The following is a 22,164-nucleotide window of genomic DNA, read 5'->3' as shown; positions in this document are numbered from 1 at the left end:
GCTCTTTTAACTCTTGGGCTTAAGGGATCCTCGTGCCTCAGCCTCCTGAGAAGCTGGGACTATAGGTACATGCCACCTAAATAATTTTTAATATGTGAACCAAGTTTTAACTTGTAGATATGAAGAATTCTGCTTTGTATATAATTATAAACCTAAATGGGTATTGCTTTCCCACAAAAATTATAGTTTTTGTTATTGGTGATTCTGAGGAAATTTGTTAACTATCTCAGAAGTTTCAAAATGTCCTAAGAGCAAACAATACCAAAAAAGAACACCTGAAGAGATAAAATAATAATTTTAATGATAATAAAATACCACTGAAGTTGGAAAAATGGAACTAAAACACTTCCTTTTGTTTGTTTGTTTTTGAAACAAAGTCTTGCTCTGTAGCCTAGGCTGGAGTGCAGCGGTGTGATCTCGGCTCACTGCAACCTCCACAAGCGATTCTCCTGCCTCAGCCTCCCGAGTAGCTGGGATTACAGGGGCCCACCGCCACACCAGGCTAATTTTTTGTATTTTTAGTAGAGACGGGGTTTCACCATGTTGACCAGGCTGGTCTTGAGCTCCCAACCTCAGGTGATCCGTCTGTCTCGGCCTCCTAAAGTGCTGGGATTACAGACATGAGCCACCACGCCCGACCCTCTTATTTTCTTCTTAATTTACACCTTTTCCATGAATAGCTCTCCTTTCTGCATGCACACTAAATATTTCTGAATCTGTGCTTGCTTCACAAGTAATTTTCGTGAACTGTACAGTCAAATTTCTAACTGCTGGACAATCTACAGCTAGTGAAAATGTGGCATGTCCAGAACAGAACTCATTTTATACACTGTTTCTCCCAAATTGGAAGATTTTATGTATTCATATATATTCATATGGAAGATTATATATTCATATAAAAATATGTTTTTCCAGTATCTCTTGAAAAATTGGAAAATGTGAGAATACTGTCCCCATGTAACAACAACTGAGGTTGGTAGCTGCCCCTACTTTATTTATTTATTTATTTATTTATTTATTATTTTTTAGAGCCAGGGTCTTACTCTCTCAGGCTAGAGTACAGTGGTGAGATCATAGCTAGGATTATAGGTGTCCACCACTGTGCCCTGCCCAGCTTCCCCCTTTAAACAAAGCTTATGGTCTCCTGTTATTCATAATTCTTATTGCTCCCCACTGTCTTACGCTTGGCTGACTTCACACGATATGTTTCTGGAATGGCCCCTATAGGTATATGCATCTGTAGTCACCGATCTAGGCCATACTAGACCATCTGTTGAATTAATAAATTAATTGAAGTACAAATAGGATCACTCTTTTCTGTGAAATCTGGAATTTGGCCGGGCGCGGTAGCTCATGCCTGTAATCCCAACACTTTGGTAGGCCAAGGCGGGCAAATCACCTAAGGTCAGGAGTTCGAGGACCAGCCTGGCCAATATGGTGAAACCGCATCTCTAGTAAAAATACAAAATTAGCTAGGCACGGTGGTGGGTGCCTGTTTTCCAGCTGCTGGGGAGACTGAGGCAGGAGAATTGCTTGAACTCAGGAGGCAGAGGTTGCAATGAGCTGAGATCAAGCCACTGCACTCCACCCTGGGTGACAGAGCAAGACTCTGTATCAAAGACAACAAGGAAGAAAACTGGAATTACCTGATGTCATTGAACCCTGGATCTGACAGTTACTAAACTGATTGCAACTTTGTGTAAATTACTCAACCTCTCTGTACCTCAGTTGCCTCATCTATAAAACAGTGAGAACAATACAGTAGTCTCCCTTTATCTGTGATTTCAGTTACTTGTGGTCAACCGCAGTCTGAAAACATTAAATAGAAAATTCCTGGGCAGGTGCAGTGGCTCATGCCTGTAATCCCAGCACTTTGGGAGGCTGAGGCGGGCAGATCACGAGGTCAGGAGCTTGAGACCAGCCTGACCAATGTGGTGAAACCCCGTCTCTACTAAAAATACAAAATTAGCCGGGCGTAGTTGGCGCGTGCCTGTAATCCCAGCTACTCAGGAGGCTGAGGCAGGAGAATTGCTTGAACCCGGGAGGCTGAGGTTGCAGTGAGCCAAGATTGCACCTGGGCAACGGGGCGAGACTCAGTCTCAAAAAAAAAAGAAAAGAAAAGAAAAGAAAATTCTAGAAAGAAACAACTCAAAAATTTTAAATTGTGCATCATTCTGAATAGGATGATGAAATCTCATGCTTCCCCACCCTGTCCCACCCAAGATGTAAATCATCCCTTTGTCCAGCATATCCACACTGTGGAATCTGCTCTCCCCACTAGGCTGTAGCTTAATTGTAGTAGATTGTTGTGGTATTGAAGTGTTTTTTTCTAGTATCCCTATTTGACTTAAATATGGCCCCAAAGTGCAAGAATAGTGATGCAATTCAGATATGCGAAAGGGAAGTTGTAAAATGAAAAGGTAAAAGTTTTCAAATTAATGAGTAAAAGAATCATAGGTTAAAAAAGTGTTTGTTATGGTAAGAATGAATCTAAACGTGAAATTCCGAAGAAGGAAAAAAGAATTTGTGCTTGTTTTGCTGTCGCACCTCAAACTACAAAAGTTTATTACAGTGCATAACTGCTTAGTTAAGATGGAGAAGGCATTAAATGTATGGGTGGAAGACATGGACAGAAAACATGTTGTGCCAGAAAGCTTTGAGGCTGTATAAAGACTTCAGCATGGGATCTCCTGAAACAAGTGACATTTAGCCACTTACTGTAGGTAATACATAGTGGTTTTTTTTGTTGGTTTTAAGACAGTCTTGCTCTGTCGCCCAGGCTGGAGTGCAGTGGCGCTATCTTGGCTTACTGCAACCTCCGCCTCCTGGGTTCAAGCAATTCTCCTGCCTCAGACTCCTGAGTAGCTGGGATTATAGGCGCGCACCACCACGCCTGGCTAATTTTAGTATTTTTAGTCGAGACAGGGTTTCATCATGTTGGTCAGGCTCATCTTGAACTCCTGACCTTGTGATCTGCCCGCCTTGGTCTCCCAAAGTGCTGGGATTACAGGTGTGAGCCACCGCACCTGGCTGTTAGTTATCATTGTTAATCCCTTACTCTAATGTATAAATTAAACTTTATCACAGGTATGTACACATAGGAAAAAACATAGTATACATAGGGTTCGGTACTATTCATTGGTTTTAGGCATTCACTGAAGGTCTTGGAAGATTTCCTCCGCGGACAAGGGGGGACTACTGTAGTAGTTACTTCACAGGGTTGTTATGAGAGTTAAATGAGATAAAGCATTCAGGCAATTTAGAAAAATACTCAACACATAGTTAATGGTAGCATTTGCTGCCTCAACTCCTACTGTTTCAGTTACTCTCTCCTGGATTTTTGTAACATATTTTTCAAAAATGTTTCTAAAATATTTTTTATTTATTTTATTTCAATTTTTTTTTTTTTTTGACAGGGTCTCACTCTGTTGCCCAGGCTGGAGTGCAATGGCTCACTCACAGCTCACTACGGCCTCGACCTCCTAGGCTCAGGTGATCCTCCCACCTCAGCCTCCCGAGTAGCTAGGACCACAGGCATGCACCACCATGCCCAACTAGTTTTTGTATTTTTAGTACAGATGAGGTTTCACAATATTGCCCAGGCAGGTCTTGAACTCCTAGACTCAAGCGATCTGCCCACCTCAGTCTCCCAAAGTGCTGGGATTACAGGCATGAACCACTGCTCCCAGCCCAAAATAATTTTTTCATATGATTTTAGAATAGGTTTAATCTGGCTCATGACCTGTATACATAATACCACCCTGATTGTGGGAAACTATGTATTGTATTTTTTTCATTACTAAAAAGTGGTATTTCTTTTTTTTTTTTTTTTCCTTTTTGTGTGTGTGTTTTTTTGTTTGTTTGTTTTTTGTTTTTTTTTAAGACAGAGTCTTGCTCTGTCTCCCAGGCTGGAGTGTAGTGGCACGATCTCCACTGACTGCAACCTCTGCCTCCCGGGTTCAAGTGACTCTGCTGCCTCAGCCTCCCGAGTAGCTGGGACCACAGATGTGCACCACCACACCCGGCTAATTTTTGTATTTTTGGTAGAGGTAGGGTTTCACCATGTTGGCCAGGCTGGTCTCAAACTCCTGACCTCATGTGATCCACCTGCCTGAGCCTCCCAAGCTGCTGGGATTACAGGCGTGAGCCACCCCGTGTGGCCTAGAAGTGATATTTCTAATAGAGGTTCAGTTTTAACTCCTGAAGGTAGTGAGGATGAATAGGCCCAAATGAAACTGACAAACATTTGATATCAATACATTTAATGATGGCTTTGCTAGAGTTTTTCTGTATGTGAAATACACGCCCAGCCAAAGGTGGAAGTTATCATTTGAGTAGTGTATTCTGCAATGTATTTTCCACACAGCCTTGAACAATCAGTCCAAAACTTCTTTCATACAGCTATTCTCTTGCCAGAAATCCTATCCTGTCACAAAGCAAGTTCTTACTTCCCTGTCAAGATTTGTTTTCACTGTCACTTCTGTGAAGTTGGCTCGCTGTCCTCTCCTCCATTGTTACACTTACATTGAGTGGTAACAGTTTGTTTACTTGTCTGTTTATATTGCAGTGATTTCCTTGAATTCTGGGACTCCCTCTTATGCCTTTAACTGGAAAGGATGGAGTCACAGGCTCAGGGTCTGATTTGATGCTAAGCTGCCTGTATTCTGATCCTAACTCTGCCACTAGTGGCTAATATGGTGTGGAGACAGGTGCTGGATCTCTCCGAGTCTCAACTACCTCATCTATGACACAGAGATAATAACAGTATATCATAGGGTTGTTGTGAGGATTCTATCAGTTAGTATTTGCAAAACTCTTTAGAATAGTGTCTGGCACAGAGAAGTGGTGTCAGTGGTTATTACTGTTGCCATTGACTTGATTTTTCTTTATTTCCAGATTTTATTTCTAGTTTGCTCTAATTGCTCAAATTTACTTAGCATTACGATTAATGACAAATCTAATTTTACTGCTTTTTGCTCCTTCTACCTTCAAGAACTAATCTTTTGAAATATAAGAGAATCACAATTTGATCCTGCAGAGATGGAATATTGAGAAATGAAGTATTGAACTTCTGTTATTGGCGAAAGGTGCATAGCTACCTTCCACTTTTTTTTAACTTATTCTATAATTCTTCCCATTCCGATAAGTCCCCCCTTGATCAATAAATTGATTCCCTTTTATTTCTGTACTTCACTCCCATTATCTTCTATTCCAATTATAATGTGTATAATATGTGTTTGTATTTAATTAGTAAAGATGTTCATCTCACCCCATTATATCATGATGTACTTGATGCCAACATGGCTTATAACTCATAATGTTAACCTTGATCATTTAGTTAAGGTAGTGTTTGCCAGGTTTCTTCACTATAAAGTTAATATTTTTCCATTTCCATACTATTTTCTTTGAAAGTGAGTCATTGTAATTCCATACCACAACCAAAAGGACAGGATTAATCTCTATCTCCTAGAGAGGAGTGTCTACATATATTCTTTAGAATTCTTTTTTTTTTTTTTTTGAGATGGAGTCTTGCTCTGTCACCCAGGCTGGAGTGCAATGGCGTGATCTCGGCTCACTGCAACCTCCACCTCCCGGGTTCAAGCGATCCTCCATGCCTCAGCCTCCTGAGCAGCTAGGATTACAGGCACCTGCCACAGTGCCCAGCTAATTTTTGTATTTTTAGTAGAGACAGGGTTTCATCATGTTGGCCAGGCTGGTTTCGAACTCCTGACCTCAGGTGATCCGCCTGCCTTGGCATCTCAGGTTGCTGGGATTACAGACGTGAATCACTGCGCCAAGCCTAGAATTCTTCTATAAGATAAATTTCTCCCTTTATCACTTAAGTATTTATTCAATAATACTTATATCATTATGGACTCATGGATATTTATTTTACTCTCTGAATTATAATCCAATACTATCACTGTTTTGTTGGTTTTTTTGGGTTTTTTTGTTTTTGTTTTTGTTTTTTTGCTGAAATTGTTCCAGCTTTGGCCACTGGGGAACTCTTTCCAATTGCCTCTGGTGTCCTTTTGACCTCTCTCCTACTTTTATAATTTTCTTTTTTTTTTTTTTTTTTTTTTTTAGCACTATAAGATGTTCCAGACTCGTCTTGCGTTTTCCCTCCTTTAATTGGAAATGGTATTTAGAAACTAAGATTTGTGAACTGGTCATGCTTGTTGTTACTGTGGTGTCACTATGTGTTAGGCTGTTCTTGTATTGCTATAAAGAAACACCTGGCCAGGTGCCGTGGCTCATGCCTGTAATCCCAGCACTTTGGGAGGCCGAGGCAGGTGGATCATGAGGTCAAGAGATCGAGATCATGCTGGCCAACATGGTGAAACCCTGACTCTACTAAAAATACAAAAATACAAAAATTAGCCAGGCATGGTGGTGTGTGCCTGTAGTCCTAGCTACTTGGGAGGCTGAGGCAGGAGAATTGCTTGAATCCCGGAGGCAGAGGTTCCAGTGAGCTGAGATCATGCCACTGCACTACAGCCTGGTGACAGAGCAAGACTCCATCTCAAAAAAAAAAAAAAAAAAGAAAAAAGAAAGAAAAAGAAACACTTGGGGCTGGGTAATTTATAAAGAAAAGAGGTTTAGTTGCCACATGGTTCTGCAGCCTGTACAGCAAGCATAACATTGGCAGAGTGGAGTGGGGGAGGTACCACATTTTACCAGATCTCATGAGAACTCATTCCTCACTCACTATGGTGAGGACAGCCTCAAGCCATGAAGGATTCTGTCCCATGACCCAAACATCTCCCACCAGGCCCCACCTCCAACATTGGGAATTATATTTCAACATGAGATTTGAGCAGGGACAAATATCCAAACTATATCACATTGCTTCTAGGCTTCCTCAGTGGGCAAAGCTAGGAAATATATTAGCCTATGTATATATACATCTTTATTGTCCATCTATTTATCATCCATCTATCATCTATCTATAAGCATGAATTCATTCATACCTCTATCTCTGACCCTAATCCAGCACCCCATGGTTCATTCTAGCCTTCTCTCCTTGCTTATTTGTGACTTTTTCCCAGTAGCAAGAGACCTGGCTCCCATTATCTACAATTATTTAGTTATTTGCCAAACCCTAGTGTTAGGAGTTGAATTGTGTTATCCTAAAATTCATATGTTGAAGTCCTAAACCCCGGTACCTCATAATGTGACCTTACTTGGAGATAGCATCTTTACAGAGATAATCAAGTTAAAATGAGGTCATTAGGGTGGGTTCTAATCTGACTGATGTCCTTATACAAAAGGGAAATTCAAACAGACACACACATAGAGGGAGGCACAGGGAGAGGACAGCTATTTACAAGCCAGTGAGAGAGATCTGGAACAGATCCTTCACCCACAGCCCTCAGAAGGGACCAACTCTGCTAACAACTTGATTTGGGATTTCCATCCTCCAGGACTATGAGAAAATACATCGTATTGCTTAAGCCACCCAGTTTGTTATGGTAGCCCTAGCAAACGAATACAGATTTCCTAGTATACAGGGAAATTAGTTTCCAAATTGCTAATGCTTATTATCTCTTTGATAAATAAATTTATCAACTATAGTGCAATGTTTATGTGTAGCTCTTTTTGCCTTTAGCCTTATAGTGTCCAGTCAAAATACTGTTTTCGAAAGTCAGCTCCTTTTTTACTCACCCCCTCAGTGAGATTATATGTTTATAATTCAGTTAGATTAATTTGTCACAGTCTGCATCTCATCCTAGGATCCCCCAACATCTGGTTGATTTTCTGAAAAATTGAATATAGCAAATGGATTTTGCTCAATGTATATAGTCATATATCCACTACCTATAAAATATAGAACAATTCCATTATCTTTAAAAAATCCCCTCTACAACCCCTTTGGAGTCAACTCTGCACCTCTCCTCCAACCCCTGGCAATCACTGATGCTTTCTATTTTCATAGTTTTGCCTTTTACATATGCTGTAGAAATGGAATTGTAATATATAGAGTTTTGAATCTGACTTCTTTCACTTAGCAAAAATGCATTTGAGTTTCATCCATGTTGTTGAGTGAATTGATGCAGGACAGGTGAGCCCCAGAATTGAGGCTTAGTCCTGGAGCGATCTTGGCTTTGCCCAGGAAAGAATTCAAGGGTGAGTGGCAGTGTTAAATAACAACTTTTATTGAAGTGGCAGGGTACAGCAGCAGCAAAGGTACTCCTCCTGCCAGAGCAGAGTTACCCTACAGGCAGTGTGCCCAGAGTAGCAGCTCAGAGGCACTTCTGCAGTCCTATTTATACCCACTTTTAATTATATGTAAATTAAGAGGTGGTTATGCAGAAGTTTCTAGAATAAGCGTAGTAACTTCCAGGTCATTGCCATGGAAAGGGGTGGTAACTTTCAGGTGTTGCCATGGCAATGGTAAACTGACAAGCACACTGGTGGGTGTGTCTTATGGAGAGGTGCTTCCACCCTAGACCTGTTTTAGCTAGTCCTCAATTTGATCCTGATGTCCAAACCCCACCTCTGGAGCCAAGTCCTGCCTCCTACCTCAGAATCAGTAGCTCCTTTCTTTTTATTTCCATCGTATAAATGTGCCACTGTTTGTTTATCCACTCACCTGCAGAGAGAGATCTTGACTGTTTCCTGGTTTTGCCAGTTAGAAATAAAGTTGTATACGTGTGTGTGTTTGTGTGTGTACATAAGTTTTCAATTCACTTGGGTAACTACTCAGTAGAAGGATTACTGTGTCATATAGTAAATGTATATTAAACTTTATTTCATTTATTATTAAAATTTTTTTGTTGTTCATTTTTTGTTTTTGTTTTTGTTTTTGTTTTTTTTGAGATGGAGTCTCACTCTGTCACCCAGGCTGGAGTGCAATGGCATGATCTCAGCTCAGTGCAACTTCCACCTCCCAGGTTCAAGTGGTTCTCTTGCCTCTCAGCCTCCTGAGTAGCTGGGATTACAGGTGCCGGTCACCACGCCAGGCTAATTTTCTCTTTTTAGTAGAGATGGGGTTTTGCCATGTTGGCTAAGCTGGTCTGGAACTCCTGACCTCAGGTGATCCACCTGCCTCAACCTCCCAAAGTGCTGGGATTACAGGCGTGAGCCACTGTGCCTGCCGGCCTATTTTTAAATTTTTTTGAGACAGAGTCACGCTCTGTCACCCAGGCTGTAGAACAGCAACACGACTGCTCACTGCAGCCTCGACCCCCCCACATACACCCCTCCACTCCCCCCGGCTCAAGTGAACATCCCACCTCAGTCTCCTGAGTAGCTGGGACTACAGGCATGCACCACCATGCCTGGCTAATTTTTAAATTTTTTGTAGAGACAAGATGTTGCTGTGTTGCCCAGGCTGGTCTGAAACTTCTGAGCTCAAGCAAAACTCCCACCTCAGCCTCCCACAGTGCTAGGATTACAGGCGTGAGCCACTGAAGAAACTGCCAAACAGTCTTCTGAAGTGATTGGACCATTTTGCATTCCCACCAGCAGAGTTAAGAGTTCCTGTTCTTTTATGTCTTTGTCAGCATTTTGTACTAATGTATTTTTTAAAATTTGAGCAATTCTAATAGGTGTGTAAGGGTACCTCATTGTGGCTTTATTTTGCAACCACTACATTTTAAAGATTCAATATTGCCATATTACATTCAATGTTCTGCTACATAATACTCCATGTTGTGCATATACAACATTTCACTCTCAATTGTCCCAGTAATGGGCACTCTGATTGTCTCCAAATTATACTGTGTAATTTGTTTTCTTTATTCATTATGATCTAAAATATATCAACATTTCTTTACTTTCTTTTTACCAGCAAGTTGTTTCATGGATGAGGGAAAATAATATCCAAACAAATACCCAAATAATATTCAAACGAAAACCCAAACAATGTCCAAACCATATTCAAAATCTTCTTGTGCAGATTAGGTTGTCAAATTTGTCCAATATAGACTCTATGATAAATGTAGAATTGATGTAATAGACTTCAAAAAAGGATTATTTACATGAAGTATTGTGACTTCCTGTTCGTTTTCAATAACCTCTTTATTTCCTTTCTCCATCCTTCCCTTCCTTTCTTCCTTGCATCCTTCCTTTCATTTCATTCTTTCAAGCAAATAAATATTTACTGAAAGCTGTTCACGGCCAGTCACTGTTTAAACCAAGGGTATGTAAAAAACATAACACTGCCCTGCAGCAGTTAACAGGCTAGTGTGGTGTGTGTTATGGGAGAAGGAAACATGGGCTCATGAATGAAAGAATGAATGAATTAATTAATAAATACATATCTACATAAATACCCACATACAAGTGTTGTCCGCAAACAGAGAAGGGTTTGCAGCCAGCTTTGTCTTGATGAGTCAGAGAACTTTCTCTGACTTGATTAGACTTATATTTTAGAGCAATAACTTTGGTAGATTGAAGTGGAATAAGAGATTGGTATTAGGGAGACCAACTGTGAGGCTATTGCAAATGGTTTAGGTAAGAAATATTGAAGGCCCGCACAAAACAATGGCATATTTTCTTTTTTTTTTGTGATGGAGTTTCGCTGTTGTTGCCCAGGCTGGAGTGCAATGGCACGATCTTGGCTCACCGCAACCTCCGCCTCCCAGGTTCAAGCAATTCTCCTGCCTCAGCTTCCCGAGTAGCTGGGATTACAGGCGTGTACCACCATGCCCGGCTAATTTTGTATTTTTAGTAGAGACAGGGTTTCTCCATGTTGGTCAGGCTGGTCTTGAATTCCCAACCACAGGTGATCCACGTGCCTCGGCCTCCCAAAGTGCTGGGATTACAGGCGTGAGCCACCGCGCCCAGCCTAACAATGGCATATTTTCTACCTAAGTGGTCTATGTGTGAGAAACAAAATAAAATAAAATCTAGGAATGTAGAACATTATTTGGCATATAAAAAAACAAAAAAACAAAAAACCCTGACCATAATAAAAGGTCAACATACACTGCAATAATCCTGTCCAGGAAAAAAAAGAATTAAAATTTAAAAATAAATGAATGAAAGGGCAACATAAGGGATCCTTGGGCGATATAGCTGATCTGTATCTTCTTGGTGACAGATACACAAAGCCACAAATGGTAATATTGTATAGAACTAAATCCATAAACACACAAATGGATCCAAGTGAGACTGGGAAAATCTGAATAAGATCATGGATTGTTACCATTATGGTAAACTGGGGAAAGTTTTCATGGATCTCTCTGTGTTATTGCTCAAAACTTCATGTGAATCTATAATCATTTCAATAAAAAATTCAGTTAAGTAATGACAGGAAAATAAAAATATTCTTAAACAAGGCAAGCATAGTGGCTCATGCCTGTAATCCCAGCATTTTGGGAGGCTGAGGTGGGAGGACCTCTTGAGCACAGGAGTTGGAGACCAGCCTGGGCAACATAGTGAGATCCCCAAAATAAAAAAATTAGCCAGGCACGGAGGTGTACATCTGTAGTCCCAGCTACATGGGAGGCTGAAGTGGGAGGATTACTTGAGCCAGGGAGGTCAAGCTGTAGTTGTACCACTGCACTCCAGCCTGGGTGACAGAGTGAGACCTTGTCTCAAAAAAAAAAAAAAAAAAAAAGCCAGGCACAATGGCTCACTCCTATAATCCCAGCACTTTGGGAGGCCAAGGAGGGCGGATCACCTGAGGTCGGGAGTTTGAGACTAGCCTGACCAACGTGGAGAAACCCCGTCTCTACTAAAAATACAAAATTAGCCAGGCGTGGTGGTGCATGCCTGTAATCCCAGCTACTACTTGGGAGGCTGAGGCAGGAGAATCGCTTGAACCCCAGAGGTAGAGGTTGCAGTGAGCCGAGATCGCACCATTGCACTCCAGCCTGGTCAGCAAGAGCAAAACTACGTCTCAAAAAAAAAAAAGATTTTTTTTTTAAACAAAAAAACTATTAATCCTTTTTTTTGAATGTAGAGAGAAAAATGTAAGGCATCTTATCCATAATTTTCCACTTGGAATTTGATTACATTGCAGCTATAAATTAATTTGGGGAAAAGTAGAAAAAAAATCCAGATCTGAAACTAACGTAACTGTTATTTAAATGTATCTTGTGCAGTTTTTAGATGATAATTATTATTAGTTCCCTTGGATGTTTTACCTACAGATTAATTCAGAGGGAAGAAAATAAATACTGAGTACTTAAAGGGCAAGTCATTGCTCTGGGAACTTACATACATTTCTCTATTTCATGCTAATAAAGACACAGATTTTATTATAATTATTAATGCATTTTTCAGATAGGGAAGCTTGAAGATCAGAGTGGATAAGTACTTTTGCAAGGTCACAGTGTTGAAGGAGCCTATACCTGTCTGATGTTAAAGCCTATGCTTTTTTTTCTACTACATAGGGGCTGAAACACAGACACAAGCACAGGTAAAATACCATCTTTGTCATCAAATTTCTTGTTGATCTTCATAGTTCTTATCCAATATTGAGAAATGTTGACTATAATATTTTTGTGGTAATTGGTGTGGATTATTTCAGCTCAGGAAAATGTCTTTTAAAAGCTGTGACTAGATAGCTTTTAATAAAATATGTCACAAAAAGTGTCAGACACTATCAGAAGACTTCGGGGTAGTTCCTTAAACCTTTAAATAAAACAAAAATAAAAACAAAACTTCAGTAAGAGGTTAAAAATGGTTACCTTTTATTGAGCGGTCACTATATATGTCAGGCATTATGTTAAGCAACTTAAATGTGTTATTTAAAGTTTCACAGCTGAGCCAGGCACAGTGGCTTACACCTGTAATCCTAGCACTTTGGGAGGCCGAGGCGGGTGGATTGTCTGAGCTCAAGAGTTTGAGACCAGCCTGGGCATTGTGCAACCCCATCTCTACTAAAATACAAAAAAATTAGTGGGATGTGGTGGCGCGCACCTGCAGTCTCAGCTACTTGGGAGGCTGAGGCACAAGAATTGTTTGAACATGGGAGGCAGAGGTTGCAGTAAGCCGAGATTGCGCCACTGCACCTCAGCCTGGGTGACAGAGTGAGACTCTGTCTCCAAAAGTTTCACAGCTGGGCAAGGTGGCTCATGCCTGTAATCCCAACACTTTGGGAGGCTGAAGTGGGAGGATCTCTTGAGTCCAGGAGTTCAAGACCAGCCTGGGTAATATACCAAGATCCCTCTTGACTTAAAAAAAAAAAAATTTTTTTAAGTTTCACAACAGCCCTATGAAAAATGCATGCTTATTTTCCCCATTTTACAGATGTGGAAAATGAAACCTGGGATGGCTAACTGACTTATCCAAAGTTACACAGCTATTAAGTGGTAGAAAAATGGGGACAAAATAGGCTGTTTGACTCCAAAGCCACCCCTCTAAGCCTCCAGGCTACAATGCTATAAAAGTCTACCAAATGAAAATCATGGGAGATAGAGAAAAAAGGACCTTTAATTTTAGTATATATGCTTCCAAAGAGAGCATGAGAAAAGGAACTGCAACAGAAAATTTCGCATGGCCCAAGATCAGTGACCAGGGTCACCATTTATTGCAATTAAGTTAGATGAGTTAACTACATTGTGTGATTTGGGGGTATAAGAGGGGCCAATGTAAAAAGCTCAAAGGTGGCCGGATGCAGAGGCTCACACCTGTAACCCCGGCACTTTGGGAGGCTGAGGCAGGCGGATCATTTGAGGTCAGGAGCTCGAGACCAGACTGACCAGCATGGTGAAACCCCATCTCTACTAAAAACACAAAAAAACTAGCTGGGCGTGGTTGCGCCTGCCTGTAGTCACAGCTAATCGGGAGGCTGAGGCAGGACAATTGCTTGAAACCGGGAGGCAGAAGTTGCAGTGAGCCGAGATCGCGCCACTGCACTCCAGCCTGGGCAACAGAGTGAGACTCCGTCGAAAAAAAAAAAAAAAAAAAGCTCAAAGGTATCTTCAGGTCAGTCACCTCCTACCCCTTTTCTCATTTTATTTTCTTTATAGCATTCACTTATCAATTATTTATTATTGATAAGTGAAATTGTTTTATTACTAATATTTTATTAGTAAAATTATTTTATCTCTAATCATTTGCCTCACCTCACTAGACCATAACTTCAATAAAATCAAGAACCGTGTCTTTCTTACTAAATGCTGTATTTCCAGAGTCCGAAGTTGTGCCTGACATAAATATTTGTTGAATGAATGCATAAATGTCTGCCCTTCCCTGAACTTTAATGGCAAAGACTTAGATTTACAAACTGGTTCAAAAGACTATATTACAAAGGCATGCATTATTAGAAATATTTTATTGTTTAGTTTCTTAGATTGGCTAGGATACACTGAAAAAAGAAGAGGAAGCTGGAGAAAAGGGGGAAAGAGCATATGTACTGGTAATGATAACACCTAAGTTATAGGGGTTGGTGGGGGGGTGGTGAAACCTAAAAAATCCAGAGCCTTCATGAGCGAAGTGCCGAAAATTGATGAGGCTCTCTGGTGTGGGATAAAAACCACCACAAAAGCTAACTTCTCAATTTTGTCTCAGAAATTCTGCTACCATAAAGATTTATGGAAAGAAAGTGAAAGTTATTTAGTTCATTTTAATATGCTAATTACCTTGCATCGTGCACAGCTTTGATTAAAATGCAACATTCCTGAAGTTCTTATTGAAATTAATGTGTCAAATTTATGTTCAAACTGAGCACTGGTCTACCTTGTTTATGTATAGTGGGTTCTTCCTGAAGATCCATTATTGATGCTATTATGCTCCTTGTATCATTACATCATTGTTGAGAAGGGTGTACAGGAATAGGCTATGAGAACAACAAAGGAATTGTATATGAAAAACTAAAATGAATGAATAAACAGAGTCGTCTGCAGTATAGAGTGGGAAGGCAAATAATTTCAATGAGGTTCTGGAGGGCCAAGGAAAACATTGTATCCCCTAAAACGGAAGATAAAGTTGCTAAATGTGTGGATTACAATAGGGGATTCTAGGCAGTTTGAAGTTTCAATAAATGCAAGATTTAGAGAAGAGGTTCTCAAACTTTGTGGTCTTAGGATTCCTTTACACTCCTTTAAAAGTTGAGGACCCCAAAGAACTTTTATGTGCATTACTGATACTGATATTTATATCAGAAATTAAAAGTGAGAAATTTTAAGAGTATTTCATTTAAAAACAATAAAGCAATCAAATATTAACAAAAAATAATTTTTATATGAAAAATAACTACTCCCCCTTGCCCCCAAATCGAGTTTTTGCAAATCTCTTTAACGTCTGGTTTAACCGCAGATGACTGGATTCTCCTATCTGCTTCTATTTTCAGTCTGTTTCCTTATCACATGTCACGTAGCCTCCGGAAAACCCCACTGTACACTTGTGAGAGAATGAGAATGCAAAAGGCAGTCTTGACATTAATATGGAAATAGTTTTGACCTTCCCCATGAAAGGGTCTGGGGACCCTCAGACCATACTCTGAGAACAACTTTTTGAGTTAGTATTAGTCAATTCATCATCACTTGAAAATTAGCTATGAGGTTTTACAAGCCTGAGGATTTAATGTGATTTACTTTTTCAGAAAGATGAAACAACGGACGTACTGAGTGTCCTCATTATAACGCATCCAGAGAATGCACAAATATGCCATTTTCATCCGTCAAAAGAACTGAAGCCGAACTGACGGACTGTACATCAGTTACGAGGATGTGGCGGGGGGTTGGGGGGCAAAGGATGACGAGCACCCCCTAAAGGCGCGGAGACCCGCTGGCATAGGAGAAGCAAAACTGTCAGAAGAGGCCGCCGAAGTGGTCTAGAGGAAAAAACTGTTTTTCTTAGGCGGGGAAGGAAAACGGTTACCGGGGGCCGGCGAGTTGCAGGAATTAGGCCTTGACAGGGAGCGTCCGCCGTCTAGGCTGCGGCGAGCGAGGGACCAGGCGACTGGCGCCAGCCCTGAGCGTTCCCAGCACAACGCCGAAGGGGGCGGGGCGGGCCGGGCGCCGGGCACGCGGGCCAGGCCTTCCCCACAACTGATGGGGTTGAAATTTCCTTTCCGGCTCAGCAGGGAGAAAAGATATGGTGGGGTGCTTAACAGAGGAGGTTAGACACCGGCGGGAACCAGAGGAGCCCAAGCGCGGCGCCTGGGCCTCGGGGCTGCAGGAGTCCTCGGTGGGGGTATGGAGGTCGCCGGGGAAGGAGGACGGTTCAGTTGCTAGGCAACCCGGCCTGGACCCGCCTCTCGCTCGCGTTGCTGGGAGACTACAAGGCCGGGAGGAGGGCGGCGAAAGGGCCCTACGTGCTGACGCTAATTGTATATGAGCGCGAGCGGCGGGCTCTTGGGTCTTTTTTAGCGCCATCTGCTCGCGGCGCCGCCTCCTGCTCCTCCCGCTGCTGCTGCCGCTGCCGCCCTGAGTCACTGCCTGCGCAGCTCCGGCCGCCTGGCTCCCCATACTAGTCGCCGGTAACGGATGGGGGCCTGGAAGGGAAGGGGGAACGTGGTGTTGGCTGGGCGGCCTGCGCAGATGGGAGGGCCGGAGGGATGGAGGGACTGGGAGCCGGGAGTCGGGGCCGCTGGCCGCCCGTGGCCTCCGGGGTCGTCCTGTGAGGTCGGACAGGACCGCGGAGTCCGGACCCCGGAGCCTGAGAGGGGCCCCGGGGCCGACCAGCGCTTTTATCGGGGACGGCTGAGGCGACGTAGGGGTTGGCGCGGCCTGGAGGCCTAAGGTTCTCTGAGCTCCACCGTCTTTTCCGCGTGGACCGGAGCGAGGCCGCGGTGACGCCCGGGTGCCCTGAGACTCGGCTGCGCCGCGAGGACCGGGAGGCCCCCGGCGTACGGGCCGGGCCGAGTGCAGAGCCGGCCGCCTCTTGGACACCCCCCTGCTTTTCCCTCAAAAATAATACCAGGAGGGAGGCCGCTGGGAGATGAAAAGAACGGCGGAGGCTGCGAATTCCGACGGGAGGGAGGGGCTGTGGAGGGACGAGTCCCCGAGGCGGGGAGGGGGCGGGGGAGGCTGCGACGCTCCCGGGCTCTCCGCCCATTGGGGGCGGCCGCGCGGGGAGGGGAAACCCCCGGCGGCTTCGCTCCACACGTGGTAATGGGCTTCATGGCCACTGGCTGGGCCTGGTTGGAGACCCTTGCCCTCGGTCTGTGCTTACTTTGAAAGTTGTAGAGACGGTGGAATGTGAAAAGGAAGGGTAAGCGAGTAAGCCCTGTCCCTGGGTTTCAAACTCTTCCCTGCTTCTCTTTGGTCTTAATCTTTTTATTGGTACCAGAGATTGTGGATGTTAGCTGATGATAAGGAAGGGCCTCCACTGCTAGTATTTTAAAAAGTTAACGCGTATATAGCGCTTATATTAACTGTTATTAGCAAAAGGTTGTTATTGTGTTTCCCAGGTACTGTTAGATGGGTGTCTTGATCAGGGTTTTTTATTTGGGGAGTATTGATCCTGATCGATCTAAACCCCTAAACCAAGCTTGTCCAACCCGCGGCCCAGGACGGCTTTAAATGTGGCCCAACACAAATTCATGAGGTTTTTTTTTTTTTTTTTTTTTTGGAAAAAAAAGCTCATCAGCTAGTTAATGTATTTTACGTGTGGCCCAAGACAGTTCTAGTGTGGCCCAGGGAAGCCAAAAGATCGGACCACCCCTGCAAACGGTTCTTAGATGAAAATAAAATGTTTGGCCCTTTATGACTTTAATTGTTCTTGGCTGTCTTATAAATTAGTTCCTTTATTGAAGTCACTAGAATAAGATACTTAACGGTTTCCTTTTTAAGATGGGAGGTGGGATGGAATGAGGTGTTAGTATAAACTTTGCCAAGTTTGTAGCCTGCAACCTTGTCAATGAACCCTACTGCCCTAAAGATCTGGGGGATGGCAGTGTAGGGGGGCTGGGACTGAGGTCCCATCTGGGAAGGCTAGACTTTGAGAGTGCAAAAAGGATGAACCAGGCGCAGGATGTCCTCAAGGAGCCCGTATTTTAGACGGTCACTGATCAGTTTTGAAACAACTACATTTTAAAAATCTCACTGCTACATTTGAAGATATCCCACTGCTGCATTTTAAAATTTACACTGCTTGCCTGGTTTCACAAGAGCTGTAAAATGAAATTTGGCCTTTTGAAAATAGGTGGATTCAAAACATCTTTGGAAACGAGTATCTGGGTCCTCTTTTTTTGGTCAGCTTAAATTAATACTCCTATACTTTGGAAGTAATATACATTACCTTTGATTGAATAAGGGAAAAACCTTTTATGTATAGGGTACCATTTAAAAATCGAAGGGAAGTAAATGACTTTTACAGTTATTTTCAAGGCACTCTTGTGTTTCAAGCTTGTTTGAAGTTGCCCAAGTTTAAATAAATGGCCTAAATCTATAGTTTAGTTCTAAGAATACTGTCCTTTGGAGAATGTATGGAACTAAACCCTGGTAGGTGGACTTGGACATCTTCTGTCATAAAACCTGACTTTCATAGATTCTCCAAGTCAACATTATGTTAGTAAATAGAAATTTAAAAGTTTTCACTATACCAATTTGAATATCTTTCTAAATTTTATCTGCTACAAAGTGCCTATTTTTATATTAGGCCCATTGATTTGCAGAATTATAAAGCTAATACTGAATATGGTAAATTACTGCACTTGGCCTTTAATGAGATTTTTGAAACGAATACCTGTACCATAACTAATGTAATCCAAAATGCCATCTCATTTTATTCAGCTTGCTCCTGTTGGCTCCTGGTAAAACTGAGTTGATTCTAAATTCTCAAAATATATTCAAAACTAAGGGTCTTTTTGTAGAAGGGGCTAAAGAAGCAGTATCTGTTGGACTTCAAAGGTCTGAAGATGTCAAAATACAATATTTTATTCACTTCTTGGTTGTAAATTTGAAACAAAGGATTAGAGAGAATGACTCATCAATATCAAAATATTAATGATCAGTGTATTCAGATCTTCAAGTTTAATCAAACCTGTAATTGTGTTCTCAGTTTAGTCTTTGGGTAACTATCTAGCACCTGTATGGACATGTATCTTATGTCATGAGCAAAAGAGGCAAATTGGTTGCTTAGATGTAGAATGTTAAATTGTGATGAGAGCTATAAAGGAAGGAAAGGGTAAAGGGGTCAAAGAGTAATACAGCGTTTACACAAAGGAACCTGTTATAATTTGATGATTTTAAGTTCCATTTCAAACTAGTTTCATCTAAATAAGTTTTTGGGCAGAATAGGGGTTAGAAGGAGAGAGTTGTTACTTTACACCTATCCATATGTAAGTCGTTTAGCACAATGACTACAGAACATTAGAGTACATTAGTGGGCTTGCCATAGAAAATGGCTTCTATACCTTTGGTTACCAACTCTGCCTTTTACTTCCTGCATATTTGTATATATTTTTACTTATTCAGAAGTTTTGTACATTTTAATTTTTATTGGGAAACAGGGTTATATATATTTTTTCCTTGTGGAGACAGGCTCTTGCTGTGTTGCCCTGGCTGGTCTTAAATGCCTCACCTCAAGCGATTTTGCCTTGGCCTCCCAAAGTGCTGAGTGTATGGGTGTGAGCCACCACACCTGTCTAGAGTTATAATTTCAGTCTTGGAATTATTTTCTAAAGAGGGTACAGAAGAGCATAACAGGGATAAATAATGTAATAGGCAACACTGATTGATTATTCAGGCATTGTTTTAAATTCTGTGTGTATTATTAGCTCATTTAATTTACTTAGAGACAGGTAGCATCAACATTTTAACAAGGAAAAAAAATAGGTGTGGAGTGGTTAGATAACCCGTCCGTGGTTACGTACGTGAGCAGTGATAACTTATGATGAGATAATTTTTATCCTGGTTTTGAAAGAATGTTGACTTACACTGTTCTGCTATAAATCAGCATGAATATTAGTTCATTTTCTGTTGCTTAGAATACCTGAAACTGAGTAATTTATTTAAAAAAAAAGAATTTATTTCTTGCAGTTATAGAGGCTGAGAAATCCAAGATCGAGGGGACCCATGTGGTGAGAACCTTACTTGTGGAGACTCTGAAGGTTCCCAAGGCAGTACAGGGTATCACATGGGGAGGGGGCTGAGTGTGCTAACTGGGTAGCTTGGCTCTCCAGCTCCCCTGGTGGGAAACTGGGTAATTTATAAAGAAATACATTAATCCATGAATGGATTAATTCGTTTGTGAGGGTGGAGCCCTCATGATCCAATCACTTCTTAAAGACCCCCATCTCTCAGTGCTGCCACATAGGGGATTAAATTTCAACTTGAGTTTTAGAGGGGACAAATACTCAAACCATAGCAGCATGAAATTCAAAAGCACTCCACCTTGTATCCCACTGTGCTCTAGGGAAAAGCTGTATAGCAGTTATGGTCATGAAGTCTTCTTCCAGCATAGAATTTGTTTACATACACAGTCATGCATGGTTAATGATGGGGATGTGTTCTGGGGGAAATGCATCATTAAGCCATTTCATCCTTTTGTGAATGTCATAGAATGTATTTACACAAACCTAGATGGTACGGCCTAGTACATACCTGGGTTATATGGTATAGCCTGTTTGTTGTTCCTAGGCTACAAACCTGTATAGCATGTTGCTATGTTGAATACTGTAGGCAGTTTTAACTTTTTTAAAAATAAGTTGGAGTGTACTCTAACCACAAAAAGCATAGTATAGTAAATACATAAACCAATAAATCATTTATTGTCCTTATCAAGTATTATGTACTGTAAATAATTGTAAGTGCCATACTTTTATATGACTCTGCAGTAGGTTTGTTTATACCAGCATCACCACAAACATGAATAATGAATTGAGCTGTGACATTACTAGGCAATAGGAATGTTTCAGCTCCATTATAATCTTGTGGGATCACTGTTGTATATGCAGTCCTGTGTTGACTGAAACGTTATGTGACTGCAGTTGGGTAATGGTTTCTTAGCCTTATGTCAGCTCTATGTATCCAATTAGTTCAGTCAGTTGCCTCCCCTCTTCAGTGGAAGATTTTGTTTTTAGTTCAGTTTAGGAAGGAAGATTTCCTTTCAGGAGGCCAGGTGTGGTGGCTCACACCTGTAATCAATCACAGCACTTTGTGAGGCCAAGGCGGGAGCCCAGAATTTCCAGACCAGTCTAGGCGACATAGTGAGACACCCTGTCTTTACAAAAAAAATTAAAACAATATAGCTGAGTGTGGTGGAGAATGCATACCTGTAGTCCCAGCTACTCAGGAGGCTGAGGTGAGAGGATCACTTGAGCCTGTGAGGTCAAGGCTGCAGTGAGCTGTGATCACGCCACTGCACTATAGCCTGGGCAATAGAGCAAAGCCTTGTCTCCAAAAAAAAAAAAAAAATGCCTTCAAGCATGTTTTTAGGGTCAGTTATGTCTTTTGAGATCTTATACACACCATATATGTATGAACCTTTTATTATAAAGTGACCTTTTTATCTTAATGTTTTTCCTTGAAGTCTATTTTTTCCTGACATTAATACGTGATACCAACTCTGATTAGTGTTTTATTCTGAAACTGTCTTTTACATTACAGATTTTTTTTTAAGGAGGTATGTTGAAGTGCAGTGGCACGATCATAGCTCACTGTAACCTCAAACTCCTGGGTTCAAGTGATCTTCCTGCCTCAGTCTCCCGAGTAGCTAGGACTACAGCAGGCATGTTAATTTTTTGTAGAGATGATCTGTGTTGCCCAGGCTGGCCTTGAACTCCTGGCCTCAAGCGATCCTCCTGCCCCAGCCTTCCAAAGTGCTGAGACTATAGACGTGAGCTACCGCACATGGCCTCACCTTCATTCTTAAAAGATGTTTTGGTTGGGGATAGTATTTTAAGAGCCTTAGTTATTTTCAACATATTGAGGATTCTGTTGTCTTTTAGTGTCTTATTGAAGAGAAGACAGCTGTCAGTCTTTTTGTGCCTTTGAAGTTAATCTACCTTTTTTGTGTGTGCTTTTGAGATGAATTTGTTTTTGCTATCTTGCCTTTTTACTGATGTATCCGGAGCTGGATAAATATATGTGTGTGTGTGTGTGTGTATATATATATATGGATTCTTTATTTTATGGTTTTGATTTGTAGGGCTACTTGAATCTGTGGATTGGTGTCTTTCATCACTTAAGGAAATGGAAAATTATTGCGTATTAACTTCTTCAAATATTCTGTCCTCCTGCTCCCAGAACTTGTATGAAGTCTTTATTAGGCTTCATTGGATCTTAACATGTCTTTTCATTTCAGTATTTTCAGTCCTTT

The 22,164-nt window shown here is 41.6% G+C and overlaps 1 protein-coding gene and 1 long non-coding RNA gene across 10 annotated transcripts in view, besides 6 other annotated features; one reads left to right on the top strand and one right to left on the bottom strand.

The window, feature by feature from the left end:
* Positions 1 to 14,211: 14,211 nt before the first annotated feature.
* LOC124902970 (uncharacterized) lies at positions 14,212 to 15,860 on the bottom strand. The gene is made up of 2 exons (XR_007063379.1): positions 15,778 to 15,860; positions 14,212 to 14,734 (listed from the first exon to the last, which is right to left on the bottom strand). It is a non-coding gene; the product is annotated as an uncharacterized LOC124902970 (long non-coding RNA).
* Positions 15,826 to 15,985: a silencer, noted in NCBI's record as "silent region_4669". NCBI's record gives its function as "represses an Ori minimal core promoter by ATAC-STARR-seq in GM12878 lymphoblastoid cells {active_cell/tissue: GM12878}" and the evidence as "EXISTENCE:reporter gene assay evidence [ECO:0000049][PMID:35858748]".
* Positions 15,989 to 16,530: an enhancer, noted in NCBI's record as "NANOG-H3K27ac-H3K4me1 hESC enhancer chr12:76478195-76478736 (GRCh37/hg19 assembly coordinates)". NCBI's record gives its function as "activates a minimal SCP1, AML or CMV promoter by ChIP-STARR-seq in primed H9 embryonic stem cells {active_cell/tissue: H9 hESC(primed)}" and the evidence as "EXISTENCE:reporter gene assay evidence [ECO:0000049][PMID:30033119]".
* NAP1L1 (nucleosome assembly protein 1 like 1) overlaps positions 16,260 to 22,164 on the top strand; it is a 48,101-nt gene continuing 42,196 nt past the window's right edge. For 7 of the 9 annotated variants that reach the window (NM_004537.7, XM_017019340.3, NM_001330232.2 and 4 more), the window contains exon 1: positions 16,260 to 16,378. The gene's annotated coding sequence lies outside the window, so the exon portion shown is untranslated. Of the gene's footprint in view, positions 16,379 to 17,002; positions 17,113 to 22,164 lie in introns of those variants that run through there. The other 2 variants (XM_047428879.1, XM_011538393.3) reach the window with 1 other exon arrangement.
* Positions 16,426 to 16,505: a silencer, noted in NCBI's record as "silent region_4668". NCBI's record gives its function as "represses an Ori minimal core promoter by ATAC-STARR-seq in GM12878 lymphoblastoid cells {active_cell/tissue: GM12878}" and the evidence as "EXISTENCE:reporter gene assay evidence [ECO:0000049][PMID:35858748]".
* Positions 16,646 to 16,695: a silencer, noted in NCBI's record as "silent region_4667". NCBI's record gives its function as "represses an Ori minimal core promoter by ATAC-STARR-seq in GM12878 lymphoblastoid cells {active_cell/tissue: GM12878}" and the evidence as "EXISTENCE:reporter gene assay evidence [ECO:0000049][PMID:35858748]".
* Positions 16,766 to 16,825: a silencer, noted in NCBI's record as "silent region_4666". NCBI's record gives its function as "represses an Ori minimal core promoter by ATAC-STARR-seq in GM12878 lymphoblastoid cells {active_cell/tissue: GM12878}" and the evidence as "EXISTENCE:reporter gene assay evidence [ECO:0000049][PMID:35858748]".
* Positions 16,876 to 16,945: a silencer, noted in NCBI's record as "silent region_4665". NCBI's record gives its function as "represses an Ori minimal core promoter by ATAC-STARR-seq in GM12878 lymphoblastoid cells {active_cell/tissue: GM12878}" and the evidence as "EXISTENCE:reporter gene assay evidence [ECO:0000049][PMID:35858748]".

Source organism: Homo sapiens, chromosome 12, assembly GCF_000001405.40.
Source record: "Homo sapiens chromosome 12, GRCh38.p14 Primary Assembly".
In the NCBI taxonomy this organism is placed as follows: Eukaryota; Metazoa; Chordata; class Mammalia; order Primates; family Hominidae; genus Homo; species Homo sapiens.
This window is presented reverse-complemented; position numbering and strand designations above follow the sequence as displayed.